Raw genomic sequence first — 19,048 nt, 5'->3', positions numbered from 1 at the left:
CCAGATTTTATAATGTTGCCAGATTTTATTTCAAATGGTTAATGTTTTTCCTAAAGAGAGCAGGCTGATTTATGGGGGAATTTAAAAAATGTTTAAACATTTCTGTATAGTTAGAGTACTTTAATAAATGAAGGCATTTCTTGGTAAACCATGAAAAAAAAAAACAAACAAAGCCATATGGCTTAGCTTTTTAGGACAAAATTGAACATAGTAAGCTAGAGACTATCATATAAATTTAGGATAATATGTATTTGGATATGTGGATGGAAATATCCTTAATCCAGAGAGGAATGATGGGGAAGAGGCTATTTCCTGATTATATTCTTTTTCTTGAAAACTAAATTAAATAATTTATATTTATTCTTTCATTTTTGTCTCACTATGACCCTGTGATGTAAGAATCACAATATGCATTCTATAGATAGTGAACTCGTGTTTGAAGAAGGTGAGCTAAATTGGCAAGCCATTGTTCACACGGGGAAGAGTGGAGCTGTAGACACGACAGTTTCTGGTACTGAATCCAGTTTCATTATACCCTAGAGTCTCATCAGGCCTAGCCCAAGGGTGAAACCTCTACAGCTTAGAACTTGAGTCAGGTTCAATCAAATGACTATGTGAACTAGCATGAAAAGCCAAAATAGTCTGAGAGCAAACTTTGGGAATTGGGAGATTAGTGTTTTAGTCCTCAGGGTTTTCTTAATTAGTTTTGTAACCTTGAGCCACACATGTAACAACCAGGTTCTTAGCTTCCTCACCTGTGAAATTAGGTGTTTGACCTAAATATTCTCTGAGTTGGATATCTTCTAACTCTAAAATTATAATTCTGTGGATATAAAGCAAAATCTTTATGCAGCTTCTAGGTAATATAGGTAGAAAACTTATAAAAATTGTCAGAATTCATCAGAAGTTGTTCGAATGTGTTTAACATATAACTTTCCATATTGATAAGGAAGTAAAGGTGAGTCATGAATGATAAGCATGCAGAACGAAATCTGAAGAAACACTAAAAATCAAATCAAATTAAATTGAAGTGGTGAAATAAGAAAAGTGCCTCTGAGCTCTAGCCATGAGTAAGGGAAATGTCGAAAAAAGACCCTAAGACAAGAGAAAATGCTTTGGGAATATTTTACAAACTAGATTTTATTGTTCCCCTTCTCTGACAACTTTGAACTATTTCGTACTACCACACGCACCTAAAAAAATCAATGAGAATTAAAATGTTTCTTCAAGATCCCCAAGGAATACATTATTTTTTTCTTCTGACTCTGTGTTTTTATATGATTGAGAGACATTCTTTTGTTCTTCCCCAGGCTGCACTCCTCAATGGAAGGGGCATGTAAACAAACTAGAGAAGGCGAGAATTAAATATACTTTCAAATGAATTCCTGAGGCTAGGCTGAGAGGGCAGTGAGGCTCCCATGTGGCTGTCTTTGATTTGTCTTTTTCCTTATGTGAGTTCCAGAATTCTTTCACTTCTAGTTGGCATCTGTGAACCTAATATTACGCATATATTTTAAAGGGGGAAGTAAACTTGTTATAGGACCATGAGGTTTGTGCCCATTGCCTGGTGACAGAGAAAAGCACCAAAAGAGTAGGAGTTTCAGCAGAGCAAGTTTAATAACAGATTGGCAGCCAAATGAGGAGGTGGGAGGGAATGTCAAATCTGCTCCCTGAGGAGTTTTGGAGTGAGCTTTTTAAGGAAATTTTGGCAGGTCGGGGGGCTGAGGAGCTGATGAAGTGAAAGGTGAAGTCATCAGAAAGGGATGACAAAAACACATTTCAGCACTTGGTCGGCTCCTCAGAGAGGTCTTCAGACTGCCTGACATCAGTGGACCCACTGAAATGCAGAATCTGGAAAATACCTCAAATGGAAGACTTGAGGCTTCTTAATGTCAAAGATGTTATCTATAGATCCTAGGGCCTTGTGACAGGTGCCACATGACTTCTAAGCAGTAAGCAGCTATAAGGAATTGGGCTATAGGCAACTGCTGAATGCTTAGCTATTCAATACTTATGCTTTTGGTGAAAAGCGAGCAATTTAGTTTTATTTAATTCTATGAGGATGGTTTCAGACTTTTCCATACTTATTCTTATAAAGATAAACAAACATGATACATGTAACTAATAAACTGATTTATGTTTCACCAAAATAAGGGGAGAAATAAAAAAACACTGATTAATCAATAGGTTGTAATCTACTGTGCATCTGGGATCATAAAATTTAACACAGAGAAGGATAAGCAGCTTTTCTTGTCATCATATTGTCCCCTTCTAGCCAGGAATATATATATACATACACAATATATGTATATATAATATCTAAGATATATATACACATATATACATAAACAATTAACCTGGACAAAATGCAATGAGAGTTGCTCAAGGGAGAATGACTCTCAGAGGTCTAGGGCAGTGTAAAGGTATGTGTCTTAGCCAGCAGTGATAAAGTGAGCTACATTCTTTCATGTTCTAGAGTGGGAGAGCTTTCCAAGGCATATGCAAAGATGCTGATGAGGAAATATTTTTTCAGAACAATAAACAGCACACAGAAAATTGGAGAAAGGCCGGTTTTGATGACAAGAAGTTAGGGCTGTTCAGTAAGCCAAACCTTAACTATGCAAAGTGTTGTTTTTCTTTTTATTTATTTATTTTATTTTATTTTATTTTTTATTATACTTTAAGTTTTAGGGTACATGTGCACAACGTGCAAGTTTGTTACATATGTATACATGTGCCATGTTGGTGTGCTGCACCCATTAACTTGTCATTTAACATTAGGTATATCTCCTAATGCTATCCCTCCCCCCTCCCCCCACCCCACAACAGGCCCTGGTGTGTGATGTTCCCCTTCCTGTGTCCGTGTGTTCTCATTGTTCAGTTCTCACCTATGAGTGAGAACATGCAGTGTTTGGTTTTTTGTCCTTGTGATAGTTTGCTGAGAATGATGGTTTCCAGCTTCATCCATGTCCCTACAAAGGACACAAACTCATCATTTTTTATGGCTGCATAGTATTCCATGGTGTATATATTCCACATTTTCTTAATCCAGTCTATCATTATTGGACATGTGGGTTGGTTCCAAGTCTTTGCTATTGTGAATAGTGCTGCAATAAACATATGTGTACATGTGTCTTTAAAGCAGCATGATTTATAATCCTTTGGGTATATACCCGGTAATGGGATGGCTGGGTCAAATGGTATTTCTAGTTCTAGATCCCTGAGGAATCACCACACTGTCTTCCACAATGGTTGAACTAGTTTACAGTCACACCAACAGTGTAAAAGTGTTCCTATTTCTCCACATCCTCTCCAGCACCTGTTGTTTCCTGAATTTTTAATGAAGCCATTGTTCTTTTTAGTCTAGTAGGCTCCTTTGACATTGCCTGTAAAGTTGTCTTCAAAAGCAAATTAAATTGCAGCTATTCAACTCCTGGAAAATTCAAATGGCTCTTCAAAGCTCTCAAGAGAAGTCCAAACTACTTGATTTGTTTTGCAACAAGTAGGAGACTACTAGATTGAAAAGAACAATGGCTTTGGAAACTAGGGGGGAAAAAAAGGCTCCATTCAAATCTTGATTCCTCTAATTTTCTGTGATACCCTAAGCACATGGCTTAATTTCTTTGAGAATTTATTTTCTAAATCAGTGCCTTAATTTCCCATTTTTTAAAATGTGGAAACATACACACACACACACACACACAAAATAATGTAGAATGCCTTTGCATGGCATAAATTAGATGACAAATATATACATTGTTTTTTCTTTGAAAATATTACAAGTAGTTCAAGCAGTAGACAGCAGAAAATTGGTTGAGCAGAGGCATTTCATGAGCAGAGCTCTTTTAGCAGCCATCAGCCAGGTGCGAGGGTGGTGTGTAGTCCTTGACCAACTGAGAGCCATTGCATTCTGTTTGGATCCCTGGCGGCAGAGTCTGCCTTTGTCCTTTGCATCCGAGATTCCCGCCAGGCCCGCTAGTGCTTGGAGCATGCACGTTCCTTGCGTGGCTGAGCATTCAGCCAGGAAAGCATGAATGTCCCCCACGGCTCTGCCTCTTCTCATTTCATCATGTTATATAATCCCTCTGTGTCCATAAACACTGTTAGAGTTTGCCCTGTGCATTTCTCTCCCTCAGGCCCCTCTGCCATCTACCAGATGACTATAGCTATTATTTAAAATCCTAATCCTTGTCAATTGCTTTCTAACACAGGAAAATGTGCTCTCTGGCTTTTTATTTGCCTGCATGTGGTCATGAAGTGGAAGAAAGCCCAGTATTTGAGGAATGTCTATTGTTATTCAAACTGAAATAAAGTCAACCCTTATGCTCAAGGTCATCACAGATTAATAGGTGCAAAAAAAATGATATATAGATAATTGTAATAGGGGACCAGATACAAATACAAAAAGCAATGTGTAACTATTGTGCATTGCAAGTTCCAAAGAGAGATGTATATTAATTCTAAAGGCATCAGGGAAGACTTTAGGAAGTAAAGGACTTTAGGAAGACTTTAGGCCCAAGTAATGGCAGTGCTTCTCAAGTGTCTGTGCTGGTGAGAGTAAGGAGGGAGCAGAGCACAGCAGAGACAAAGACCAACGTTGCCAAACAAGAGAAAAATGAGAAGCAAGAAGGTGGAGGCATGTGTAGCCACACTATAATGTGTGCTTAAAATGGCTGCTGGAGGATTCCTGTAGATGAGAAGTTTGGGGGCCTGATACCAACTTAATATTTCACAGCTAAAAAGTGCCAGGGAAAGTGTTTTGGCTCTCAAGTGTTTTTTCCAATGATAACATTAAAGCTAGTCCACATTGCATCCCTACTATGTTTTACCAATTTGCATATAAACTTTATGCAGTCTTTACCAAGGCATTAGTAGATTTTTACTTCTGAGGAAAGATCTTACAGTAGATTTTACTGCTAAGGAAACAGAAGAGCAGAGGGTTAAGTGACTTGTAAAAGATCAGATAGACTATGAGTCAAAAGCAGAGCAAGTTTGAGCTCTGTTGACCTGAACAGGACTGTGCTCTCTCCCTCACTTTGTGTCCAGGGTCCCTTCCATCACAGTCAACAACCTCCTACCTCACTGTTAGTTTTACCAAGTAACTCACATGTTACTTGTGGGCTGGGTAATCTAGATCCTGCAGGAAAAACATAATCCTAGTACACTCTGTCTTATACCAGATTCAAGCCATATAAATAAAATTAAAATTGAAATTTATTTTCAGAAGTATATATATTACTTGGGCCCACCTGGCTGGCAGAGTCCTACTGTTTATGTTAATGAACACATCAGGAATGTTAAGATGGATAAAAAAGGGAATAGAGCCCTAAAGAAGTCAGTAAAGTTGATTTATTAACAAATAAAAATGCTTAATGATTAGGGCAACCTATCTAGTTAACTACCAAGTATTTGCCAATGATTTACTACTTGAACAAATCACATCTCTAGTAACACAAATAAAAGTCCAATTATAAATAATACTTGCAGTATGATGCAATATACATGAAATTAAAATTAATACTCCACTTTCCATGGATAGACCTTTGGTATTCATTTATAAGGTGAAAAATAGAGGATAGTTTTAAATCCAAGAACAACTGGTCTATTAAATATTTATGTCAAATATCTTCCATATCTGACAAAAGGAAATAAATTTTATCTTGAATGCTTTGGCATTTACTGTGGGGGAGTGGCATTTCTTGATGAATAATAAAAAGAATAGATAAAACAGAGGAAAACAAAAGTTATAGCTTCAGTAAATCATGCATATTCCATTGCTTTGGCTAAGATCAAGCAATTGACACTAGTGACAAATTTGTCTTCTAGGGAAATTAACTAATCGTATTTTATTGTGAATTCCAAGACATAATTTGGAGTTTGAATCTTAATTGTACCACTTCTTATTAGTGGTCACAACTTACCAAGACAATTATATCTTAGTTTTCTCCTAGAGAAAATCAAGAGCATAAATAACCCTGACCTCAAAAAGTTATGTGAAAAATAAATGAGCTAAAAAAGAGTAAGTTATTTTGCAAAGAGTATAAGGGGAAAAAAAGCCAACATTCTTTTTATTATTGTGATATCCAGTGTGATCTCCAGTCATTTCAGCTTTGAACATTTAAGGATCTGAACTTCCCAAATGTTGGTGGCTCATTCAAGAAGACAGAAGAGCATGTTTATTGATTAGCTACTGAAGCTGAGCCACATGCATCATCACCATTAATCTTATATATGCAGAAAGTATGCATACATAAGTCCTATAAACTGCCTTTATCCTTCTCTTTAAAAATAAAGAAACTAATGTTCAAAGAGATCAGTAGCAACCAAGTTTATGCAGGAAAAGTCAGAGCTGAGATGTGAGTCTTGATGGCTCTGATAGCAAAGGCTGCCTTAATGCTGTGACTCTGCATGTAGCCCCTCTAGTGTGGCATCTGTGAACCCCGTGCCTGATATCTGAATATGCTGGAACCTGCCTCTGGGCTACGGATCCAAAACTGATCGTCCCAACCAGCTGTTGTTCTTAGTTGGTTTGAGCTTTCAGCATATTTTTCTATAGAAATAAATATATATAATTTATTCTGTATATTGTAAAATATAATTTAAAATCATTTTAAATTACATACTACTTAGGTGATCAAATGATATAAGCCTAATGATTATAGCTTTTTTTCCTAAAGGATTTAAGTATGTGTATATATATATTTATTTATTATTAATTTTATATATACACACTTAAATATATAATAAATATTAATATGTAATATGTATAAATATATAATTAATATGCACACACACACTTAAATCCGTTAGAAAAAAAAGCTGTAATTATTAGGCACATATCATTTTATCATCTAAGTAGCATGTAATTTAAAATGATTTTAGTTGCCACTCTCTTTTTCTCACTACTGTGAAGATAACATTTGTCACTTTTTCAAATTCCTCTTGAAGAGTCCATTCATATAAAACCAGGATTGAACACGATAGTCTTTTTCAATCATTTCAACAGTCAGAGAACAAGACGTCCATCACCCACACCCACAGCTCAACATTAAAATCCATATTCTACAGTTTCATACATTTTTAAATTATTTTTGCTTAAACAGCTTCCCAGCATCTCTTTTCTCCTTCTTCTAAGATTGCAGCTATTACCTTTGAGAGCCTCTATTTTGCAGAGCAATTAACAGGAAGCCTGATTCTGGCCCTAAATTATAGTGGTAGCCACCAACGAAAGGGATCTAATTCCTAAGAAGGTCTTCCAAAGACAAGTTCAGAACCGTTTCTTATCTGCACATGCACTTTGGAGCCTCAGACCTCGTTATAAACAGCTTATCAAATTAGTTCTTTATTTATTATGTTTTCCTCAAAAGGTATTCTTGTCAATAAAATTTCCCTATTTAGTTGTCCATTTATCCTTTAGAAAATAATCTTTGAATTTGCATTTTGCCAATCCATTGTGATGGGTTAACTTCCTAAACTTATAAAGTAGCCCATCATATTCTGTAACATAATAAACAAGTTAAATTGGAATAGGAAATATGAATACCAGAGATGAAATGCTCATAAATTCAGAAAATGATAGGCAGTAATGGATTTTTCATAAAGAACCAAGGAAAGCCGTAAAGAATTTCCAAATGTCAATGTAATTTTATGGCTTCTATCCTAAAGAAAATTCAGGAGCTTGATCTTAAGCCTAGAAATATTTTTTATAAAGCTTTTAACGGACTCCTTTTTCTACTATGTTAAGTCCCACTGCGAAGCCGGCATGGAAGCAGCCATCACTGGTGCTGTGCCCCTTGATTTCTAACTTGTTTTCCTCCTCCTGCTCCCCACTCCTAATCCACTGCTTCTTGGAGATGCTTCTCCAACACAGACCTAATCATCTCACTTTTATTTTCTTCTGGACCTTCAACAACTTCTTATTTTTAATATTAATATTTAATGATTTTTAAAAGTCTGGTCTAAACCTTTGTTTCCAGTTCAGTCTAAGGCCATCATGACACTTAAATCGGACAAAATTAAGTTAGGCACTTTTTTCTTGCACTTGTAACTTTTTGCTTCTCTGCCTTTGTAAACATTCATTCAATTTCCTGAAGTGGGCTTTCTACCTTTATCTGTCTGTGGAGCCTTCTGTTGACCCAAAGACCCAGTTATCTCACGGTATTTTTTTTGTTCTATTAAACATTTGCTCATTTCTATGCTTCCCTATTCCACTAGATCCTGATTTGCCTAAAGGTAGATGCCAAGAATTTTACATTGTTTCCCACGCCCTAATAGAATAACAGGAGTATAAAAAGTAAGCAAACTGTTGATGTCAAACAAGTACATTTTTGTCATAATTCCACTGAATCTGCAACAATGCTTTTTGAGTCCCTTTTTTTTTTTTTTTTTTTTTGCTAGGCGGTGTGTTTAGACCAATTCTTGAAAGGATGTCGTGTGTAAGACATCTGATTATATGCTAGTAAATGTGAACAGCACTTAAAAGATTAGCAAAAGTTTTAGTCTGCAGAGTCAAAATGCTGAAAACATTAAACACCAAGAAAGAATATATGTATTGAGCCCCAGACTGAAGCATTTATGGAAGAGATATCATTACAAATGAACTTTAAGAGACAGACAGGATTTAAACCTCAGAATGTATGGTGAGGCCATTCTAAGAACGGAAAAAGCACAGAACAGCAGCAACATGATAAGCCAAGGAACACACCTGGAGGCTGCCAGGTGGCCTCTGGGAGGAGGAAAGATACTTCTTTCTCTACTCTGTCACGTCTATGATCCCTTTTGATTAAAATATATGAATATCATGAAGCAAAATACATCTCGGGAACCCCGAATCACTAAGCCAAAGGAAAATGTCAGGCTGGGAACGACGTTGAGCAAATCCGCCTTCCATTCTATTCCTAGGTAAGACAGCTATAAAGATTATGAAAAGCTACATACCACCCTCACAATTTACCCACCAGAAAATTTCTTGTGGACAAAGGACAGGCAGAACTCAAAGTCATCCCTCTGCTCACCTGAGACAAATGCATATGTGATCACTTGCTTTGCACTAAGCCAGACTAAGGCATAAGTGACTATTCCTGTACATTGTGCATTCAGTGAAAGGCTAATTAGAAACTCAAAAGAATGTAATCATTTGTCTCTTATCTACCTATGACCTGGAAGCCCACTCCCCACTTCAAGTTGTCTTGTCTTTCTGGACTGAACCAATGTACGTCTTACATATATTGATTCCCCTCCCACCATGTCTCCCTAAAATGTGTAAAACCAAGCTGTACCCCAGCCACCTTGGGCACATGTCAGGACGTCTTGAGATGCGTCACAGGCAAGTCCTTAACCTTGGCAAAACCAACTTTCTAAATCGATTGAGACCAGTTTCAGACGCTTTTTGGTTTACAATACACACTCGCGCACACACATGCACACGCGCACGCCTTTAACTACCCTGAAACACAAGCTTCCATCTTTGCAGAACTACTATAGAATTATAGTGCTCTAAATGCTGCCTGAGAGAGCTGTGCTGAAGTACTGAAGTACATGTGTCCATTTATTAACTAAGTTGTTTAATTTTTTTCCCTAACGAGTTGTAGGATTTCTTGACGTATTTTGGATATAAGTATTTTATAAAATGTGTGATTGAGAATATTTTCCTCCAGCCTATGACTTGCCTATTTATTATTCATTTAGCTCATTGATGAATAAATGTTATTAATCAAGTTCATTTTGTCTATTTCTATCCCATATAGATGTCCAGTTTGTACTCTGCTAAGATTATAAAAAGCTACATAAAAAGCTACCTCCAGTTTTTATTTGGACATATATATGGCTTTTACTTGGCTTGTTGTATAGATATCTTTGCTGGTGGAATTGCTATGGCACTATAGTTAAAAACCAATTTACTATACAAGTATGAGTATGTCTCTGGACCCTATTCTGTTCCATTCATCTGTATGGCTATCTTGAGTGCTGTATCTTTGTAGTAATTCTTGAAATCATGTAGTGTAAATTCTCCAATTCTGTTATTCCTTCTAAAGATTGCCTGTGTTCTAGGTCATTTACATTTCTATATACATGGTAAAATCAGAATGCCATTTGTTAGAACCAAGCTACAGGCATTTTGAATGGGACTGCACTGAATGTATACACCAATTTGGGAATATTGACATATTAACAACTTTGTGTCTGCTAATCCATGATCATAATGTATTTCTTTTTCTATTTTTAGACCATTATTTATGTATTCCAGCATTTTTTAATACTTTTCAGGGACTAGGTATTACATATATTTCATTAGATTGATTCCTATGTATTTTATATATTTAATGCTGTTGTGATAACCTTTTTTATTTCATTTCAAACTATCCTTTGCTAGTTTTTATATATAAACCCATGTCTTGCTATTTTATGAAAAGGTTTAGTTAAAATTGGTGTTAATTCATCTTTAATTATTTCATGGAATTTATTTTTGGAGCTGTCTGATCTCACATTTTTCTTTGTGGGAATTTTTAAATTACAAATTCAATTTCTATAATAGATGTAGGTATAGTCAGGTTTTCTATTTGTCTGTGTCAGTTTTGATTATTTGTGTTTTCTCATTGTTTTCACTCTTGTGCTTTCAGCTATTGTTATTTTACATTTTACTTCTAAATATGTTATAAAGCACAAAATACATGATGTTATTGATATATTATGGTGATTCCTCAAAGAGCTAAAAGCAGAACTACCCTCCCCCCTTATATATATGCTCTTAACTATCCTGAAACACACACACACACACACACACACACACACACACACACATGCCCTCAACTATCCTGAAACACAAGCTTCTGTCTTTGCAGAATTACCATAGAATGATATCGAATGATTTATATTCCTCTGGGTATGTACCCAGTAATAGGATTGCTGGGTCGAAGGATAGTTCTGCTTTTAGCTCTTTGAGGAAACACCATACTGTTTTAACTTAATATATTTAAATGCTAATTGATGCTTTAAGCCATCTGTTAGCATTTATATATTAAGTTAAAAACAAAGTGGTACACTTTCATTTTTAAACATATTTATTGTTTTGATGCTCCTCATTGCTTTCCACAGATCTAAGTTTTTAGCCTGCCAAAAACTAGTCTTTCTTGTAGTATGATTCTGCTGACAAATTCTGTTTTTCTTCAAATTTTACTTTGATTTTCGAAGGATGTATTTAGTTTTTAACTTTTACCTTAGGTTCGAGTGTACATGTGAAGGTTTGTTACATAGGTAAACTCATGTCATGGGGTTTGTTTTGCAGATTATTTCATCACCCAGGAATTAAGCCCAGTACCCAAAAGTAATTGTTTCTGCTCCTCTTCCTCCTTCCATTCTCTATTCTCAAGATACCAAATGTCTGTTGTTTCCTTCTTTGTGTTCAAAAGTTATCATTTGGCTCCGCCCTAAAAGTGAGAACATGTGGTATTTGTTTTTCTGTTCCTGCATCAGTTTGCCAAGGATAATAACCTCCAGCTCCATCCAAGTTCCTGCAAAAGACATGATCTCATTCTTTTTATGGCTGCATAGTATTCCATAGTGTGTATGTGCCACACTTTCTTTATCCAGTTGGTCATTGGTGGGCATTTAGGTTGATTCCTGTCTTTGCTATTGTGAATACTGCTGCAGTTAACATTTGTGTGCATGTGTCTTTATGGTAAATGATTTATATTCCTCTGGGTATATACTCAGTAATGAGATTTCTGGGTCAAAGGGTAGTTCTGCTTTTACCTCTTTGAGGAATCCCCATACTGTTTTCCACAAGGGTTGACCTAATTTACTCTCCCATCAGGAGTGCATAAGGGTCCCTTTTCTCTGCAACCTTGCCAGAATCAGTTATTTTTTTACTTTTTAGTCATAGTCATTCTGACTGGTGTGAAATGGTACCTCATTGTGGTTTTGACTTGCATTTCTCTAATGATCAGTGGTATGAAGCTTTTTTTCATATGTTTGTGGGCTATATGTATGTCTTCTCTTGAAAAGTGTCTGTTCATGTCCTTTGCCCACTTTTTAATGGGGTTGTTTTTCTATTGTAGGTTTGTTTAAGTTCCTTATAGATACTGGATGTTAGATCTTTGTCAGATGCATAGTTTGTAAATATTTTCTCTCATTCTGTAGGTTGTCTGTCACTCTGTTGATTGTTTCTTTTGCTGTGCAGAAACTCCTTAGTTTGATTAGATCTCATTTGCCAATTTTTGCTTTCGTTGGAATTGCTTTTGGTGTCTTTGTCATGAAATATTTCCTTGTACCTATCTGCAGAATGGTGTTGCCTAGGTTGTCTTCCAGGATTTTTATAGTTGTGGGTTTTATACTTAAGTTTTTAATCCATCTTGAGTTGACTTTTGTGTACGGTGTAAGAATGGGATCCAGCTTCCACCTTCTGCACATGGGTCACCAGTTATCCCAGCACCATTTATTGAATAGGGAGTCTTTTCCCCATTGCTTGCTTTTGTCAGCTTTGTCAAATATCCAGTTGTTGTAGGTGTCTGGCATTACTTCTGTGCTCTCTATTCTGTTCCATTGGTCTATATGTGTTGCGGGAAGTCAGGGACCCCAAAAGGAGGGACCAGCTGAAGCCATGGCAGAAGAACATAAATTGTGAAGATTTCATGGACATTTATCACTTCCCCAATCAATACTCTTGTGATTTCCTATGCCTGTCTTTACTTTTATCTCTTAATCCCATCATCTTCATAAGCTGAGGATGAATGTTGCCTCAGGACCCTGTGATGATTGCATTAACTGCACAAATTGTTTGTAGAGCATGTGTGTTTAAACAATATGAAATCTGGGCACCTTGAAAAAAGAACAGGATAACAGCGTGTTCAGGGAACAAGGGAGATAACGTTAAAGTCTGGCTGCCTGTGGGCTGGGCAGGACAGAGACACATTTCTCTTATTACCAGAAATGGGTAAGAGAAGTACTGCTGAATTCTTTCCCCAGTAAGGAATATTAATAATTAACAGCCCTGGGAAAAGAATGCATTCCCAGGGGAGAGCTCTGAAATGGCCACCCTGGGAGTGTCTGCCTTTATGCAGATGTAGATAGGAATGAAACATGCCCTAGTCTCCTGCAGCATGCCCAGGCTTGCAAGGATTAGGAAATTCCAGCCTGGCGAATTCTAGTCAGACCGGTTCTCTGCTCTTGAACCCTGATAATGCGTGCACAGGGGCACATGAAAGTTCATTAGTGATTCTAGTTTCACTCTGACCTTTTGCCTTGTGATCTTTTGTTGCCCTTGAAGCATGTGATCTCTGTGACCCACACCCTATTCGTGCACTCCCTCCCCTTTGAAAATTGCTAATAAAAACTTGCTGGTTTTACGGCTCAGGGGCCATCAAGGAACCTGCTGACATGTGATGTCTCCCCCAGGCACCCAGCTTTAAAATTTCTCTCTTTTGTACTCTTTCCCTTTATTTCTCAGACTGGCGGACACTTAGGGAAAATAGAAAAGGACTCATGTTGAATTATCGGGGTTGGGTTCCCCTGATATATATGCCTATTTTTTTTTAACCAGTGTCATGCTGTTTTGGTTACTGTAGCACTGTAATATTGTTGGATGTCTGGTAACGTGAGGCCTTCAGCTTTTGTTTGTTTGTTTGTTTTGTTTTATTTTGTTTTTTGCTTAGAATTGCCTTGGCTATTTGGGCTCTTTTGTGATTCCATATATATGTTAAAATAGTTTTTCCTAGGTCTGTGAAAATTGTCATTGGTAGTTTGATAGGAATAGCATTGAATCTGTAAATTGCTTTGGGCAGTGTGGTCATTTTTACAATATTGAGTCTTCCTATCCAAGAGCATGGGATGTTACCATTTGTTTTTGTCTTCTCTAATTTATTTAAGCAGTGTTTTGTAATTCTCATTGTAGAGATCTTTCACCTCCCTGGTTAGCTGCATTCCTATGTATTTTATTCTTTTTGAAGCAATTGTGAATGGGACTGCCTTCCTGATTTGGCTCTTGGCTTGGCTCTTCTTGGTGTATAGAAATGCTAGTGATATGTGCACATTGATTTTGTATTCTGAAACTTTGCTGAATTTGTTTATCAGCTGAAGGAGTTTTTCGGTACAGACTATGAGGTTTTCCAGATATAAAATCATCTCACATACAAACAGAAATAGTTTGACTTCCTGTTTTCCTATTTGGATGGCCTTTATTTCTTTCTCTTGCTTGACTGTTCTGGCTAGGGCTTCCAATACTATGTTGAATAGAAATGGTGAGAATGGACATCCTTATCTTGTGCCAGTTTTCAAGGGGAATGCTTCTGACATTTGCCCATTCAGTATAATGTTGGCTGTGGGTTTTTTATAGATGGCTGTTATTATTTTGAGGTATGTTCCTTCGGTACGTAGTTTATTGAGAGTTTTTAACATGAAGAGATGTTGAATTTTGCCAAAAGCCTGTTCTGTGTTTATTGAGATAATCATGTGGTTTTTGTTTTTAGTTCTGTTTATGTGATGAATCAAATGTATTGACTTGCATATGTTAAACCAACCTTGCATCCTGGGGATGAAGCCCACTTGATCATGGTGGATTAGCTTTTTGATGTGCTTCTGGATTCATTTTGCAAGTATTTTCTTGAGGATTTTTGTATCAATGTTCATCAAAGATATTGGCTGAAAGTTTTGTTTTTCTGTCGTGTCTCTGCCAGGTTTTGGTATCCAGATGATTCTGGCCTTATAGAATGAGTTGGGGAGGATTTCCTCTTCCTCAATTTTCTGAAATAGTTTCTGTAGAAATAGTACCAGCTCTTCTTTGTACATGTGGTACAATAAGGCTGTGAATCCATCAGATCCTGGGGGTTTTTTTGTTACTAGGCTATTTATTACAGATTCAATTTCAGATCTTGCTATTGGTTTGTTGAGGAAATCAATTTCTTCTTGGTTCAGTCTTGGGAGGGTGTATGTTTCCAGAAATTTATCCATCTGTTCTAGGTTCTGTACTTATTATGCATAGAGGTGTAAATAGTAGTTTCTGATGGTTATTTCTATTTCTGTGGGGTCAGTGATAACATTCCCTTCATGATTTCTACTTGAGTTTATTTGGATCTTCTCTCTTTTCTTATTTATTAGCCTAGGGAGTGGCCTATCTTGTTATTTTTTAAAAAAAAACAACTCCAACTCCTGGATTTGTTGATATTTTGAATTTTTTCTGTCTCAATTTCCTTCAGTTCAGCTCTGATTTCGATTATTTCTTGTCTTCTGCTAGCTTTAGGTTGATTTGTTTGTGCTACTTTAATTCTTTCAGTTGTGATGTTGGGTCATTAATATAAGATCTTTCTAACTTTCTGACTTGGGCATTTAGTGCTATGAATTTCCCTCTCAACAGTGCCTTAACTGTGTCCCAGAGGTTCCCCTATGTTGCATCATTGTTTTCATTAGTTTCAAAGATCTTCTTGATTTCTGACTTAATTTCATTATTTACTCAAACGTCATTCAAGAGCATGTTGTTTAATTTCCACGTAATTGCATGTTTTTGAGCAATGTTCTTAGTCTTGTCTTCTACTTGTATTGACATTGTGGTCTAAAAGTGTGTTTGGTATGATTTTGGATCTTTTGCTGTTGCTGAGGATTGTTTTATGTCCAATTATGTGGACAATTTTAGGATATGTGCCATGTGGCATCAAGAAGAATATATATTCTGTTGTTTTGGGGTGGAGAGTTCTGTAGAGGTCTATCAGATCCATTTGGTCCAATGTTGAGTTCAAGTCCTGAATATCTTTGTTAATTTTCTGCCTTGCTGATTTGTCTAATACTGTCAGTGGAATGTTGAAGTCTCCCAAATAGATTTTAGGTTGCTGGTGTTTTTGTTTTTTAGATTTTTTTTTCTCTTTGCACGTTAAATATGTTGTTTCATAGTCTTCTGTGCTCTTTTGCTTCTGATGTTAAGTTCACTGACATTCTATCCTTCCCATCCCCTACTACAGTATCTAATGTATTATGTTTTGTTTTCCCCTTCAACTCTTTTGAAAAGTTTTCATTATTTTGGTTTTCAGCTATTTGATTATGGACATTCCTTGGTTTGCTGCTCTGTATGTATTCTACCTGGGATTCAATGAGCATTTTAGATACTAGGATTAATATTTTTCATCAAGTTTTAAAAAATTGTGACCAATGTTAGTTAGCATGTATTCTACTCTATTTCTCTCTTTTCTCTCATATGTTAGGAGCCTTGGCACTGTCCCACAGGTTACTCAGACTCTATTTAATTTTTAAGGTATTTTTTCTGCATTTTAATTTGAATATGTTCAAATGATTTTTCCTCAATTTCACTGAGAACTTATGCTATTAACCTCAAAGAGTGAATGCTTCATCTCAAATATTTTATTCTTCATTTCTATAATTTTCATTTGGTTCTTGGTACAGTTTCAAGTTTACTATTAAGATCCCCATTTTTTTCCTACAAAGTTGATATTTCCTTTAAGATCCTCAACATATTTTAATGGCTACTTTAAGTTAATATTTTATTTCTACATTTTTGATATATTTCTACTGACAAATTTGTTTTTCTGGTTGTGAATTAATTTTTCCTGCATCTTCATATTTAGTAATATTTTAATTTTATGCTAAGCATTATAGATGTTATCTTACAGACTGTCTAGATTTTGTTTTGTTTCTTCAGGCAGGGAGTCGCAGATTTTCATGTGAGCTCATTCCCTTTGAATATTGCTTGTAACCTTTTACAAGATGAGCTGAGTAGTCCCTACTTTTAAGCTGCATTAGCACTATCCATAGATGTGTTATTACTGGAGTACCTTTCTTATGATTAGGTGCTTAATCTCTCTGGCTGGTTGGAGTTGAGCAACTCCCAGTCCTTTAGGAGCTCCAGGTATTTCTTGTATCATAACTCCTTAGAATTATTTTTTTCACTAACAGTTGTTCTTTGGCTAGCCAAATAGCCTTCCATCCTACAAATGAACAATTTAATATTTTACCAAATGTTCAAAAAGAGCCTCATGCAAATTTCTGGAGGTTTTCTCCACTTAGCTCCCTTCCCTCTGAACCTGCCCCCAGATTCCAACCTACAGTAGTTCATTCGTTCTGAACTCTCATCTCTCCCTCCTCAGTTCTATAGGACCAGCATGCTGTGCCCCACCCCCAACCTGCTGCTGTGATGTACAAAGAGCCAATGTTAGATATACTGAGTAGCTTACCTCACTTGTTTCCCTTCCCTCATGAATCACAATTTTGCTGACTATCCAATAAGGTAAGCATTTATGTCATGTAGTTTGTACAGTTTTACAGCTGTTTACTGCAAAAGAACTTATTCTGTGTTGGTTACTCCATCATGGCTGTGAACACTACCATTATATTTTAATTTCTGTGTCCTCCTCATTTGGTTTGAGTTCTGTGGTTGCTGTCGTTGAATATTTCTATAACTTTTCACAATTCACTATATACATGGACAATAATCTGATCAAGGATGTCATTTTTTTCTGGTTTAGATTGTCCCAGCTACCTCATAGCCAGTGTCCCTTTCTTTACTCTGCCTTTCTTCCACTTATGCTGTTTCCTGTCCAGAAGATTCAGTGCTTTGTGTAAAACACAGAAATATCTGTACTTGGAATTCCAACAAAACAAATTACTGTGCCACTTGAAAATTTTTGTGATCTGTTTCCTTTTTACTTTTGGAGTATCATATGTAATTTCTCCACCAGGCACTACTGCATCCTACACCCTCACATCCAATCTCTACAACTTCAAACACCGGAAATCTTCTTACGTTGCCTAAACGGCCCATGGTTTGCCTTTCCTTCAGGCTATTGATCCTACTATGTTTTTTAAATGTTTTTTTCCCGAAACTTTCATCCCCCATCACTATACCTGCTTAAACTATATTCAACTTCCAGGTTCAGCATAGAATAGATTGCATTCCTCAAAAATGTCTTTTTCAAATGTTCCAAATTTGGTTCAAGATCACTGCAATTAGCTTCATAGCACAGTATCTCCCATAAGCTAAATACCCTGTAGCATACAAACCAAAATACTTGCCTGTATCTCCCATTAGAAGTGAATAGAGGCAGGGGGCTTTTTACATTGTTCAGCATTGTATCTGGCACTCAGGTTAGTGTTAGTTTTGTGTGTTGGATGCTAATCTAAATGATTGAGAAAATGTAAATAAGGTCCACTCACAATTTTTGAAGTAACTTACAATAAAATTGGCAAATCAAGACTCAAAAACAGCAAATGAAACAAAAGCAACAAATTACCACAAATTTGGAGGCTTAAAATAACAACACTTATTCTTTCACAGTTTTGATGATAAAATTCTGAAATGAACATGTGGGCAGGTCTGTGCTCCCTCAGGAGGTTGGGGGAAAACACCTTCCTTGCCTCTTCCTGCTTCTGGTGACCATCAGCATTCTTGGCTTGTGGTCGCATCTCTCTATCTCTACTCTATCTTCACGTCTTCATATTGCCTTCTCTTGGGTGGAAAGGGATTCTAATTCTGTCTTCCTCTTAGAATAATATACGTAATTGCATTTAGGGTCAACCTAACATAGGATAATAATCCAGGTAATTATCCAGAATAATCTCTTCCTCTCAAACTCCTTTATTTAATCACACCATCTGCCATATGAGGTAAGATGTGCAGATTCTGATGATTGAGATGTGGATGTGTGCTTGAAGCCACCCTTCTACCCTCTAGAGCAGGTCACAGTGAGGTAGTTCCCATGAGAGAAGTACAAATCAAGAAATCCATAGTTCAGAAAAATCAAGTCCTGACATTAAAAAACAAAACAAAACAAAAACTTTGAAAATGAGTAGGAGTTTTACAAATGATGCTATGGGAAAAATAGTCCAGTTTCAAAAGTTTATAAAATTACAAAGATGGTGCAGAACAGAATCAGGATTAGCCCAAATTCTAGAGCATGAAATATACAAAAGAGATAACCGGGAGTTTTGAGACCAAAAAAGAAGTGTAGTTTAAATAATACAAATTCTTGGAAATAATTATTTATAGTTTGACTGTGATGTCTACTAAGATATTTAAAATAAGACATTTTTGACCAAAAGAATGACACAAATA

General features: G+C 36.3%; 2 annotated features.

Moving 5' to 3' along the window:
• Nucleotides 12,445-13,644: an enhancer, noted in NCBI's record as "P300/CBP strongly-dependent group 1 enhancer chr7:49054078-49055277 (GRCh37/hg19 assembly coordinates)". NCBI's record gives its function as "activates an origin of replication core promoter dependent on BRD2, BRD4, P300/CBP, MED14 and CDK7 cofactors, with strong dependence on P300/CBP, by STARR-seq in HCT116 cells {active_cell/tissue: HCT116}" and the evidence as "EXISTENCE:reporter gene assay evidence [ECO:0000049][PMID:35650434]".
• Nucleotides 12,933-13,435: an enhancer, noted in NCBI's record as "NANOG hESC enhancer chr7:49054287-49054789 (GRCh37/hg19 assembly coordinates)". NCBI's record gives its function as "activates a minimal SCP1, AML or CMV promoter by ChIP-STARR-seq in primed H9 embryonic stem cells {active_cell/tissue: H9 hESC(primed)}" and the evidence as "EXISTENCE:reporter gene assay evidence [ECO:0000049][PMID:30033119]".

This window comes from Homo sapiens, chromosome 7, assembly GCF_000001405.40.
Source record: "Homo sapiens chromosome 7, GRCh38.p14 Primary Assembly".
NCBI classification, from domain to species: Eukaryota; Metazoa; Chordata; class Mammalia; order Primates; family Hominidae; genus Homo; species Homo sapiens.
Note: the sequence above shows the minus strand (reverse complement) of the source record. Positions and strands in the feature narration are given on the sequence as shown.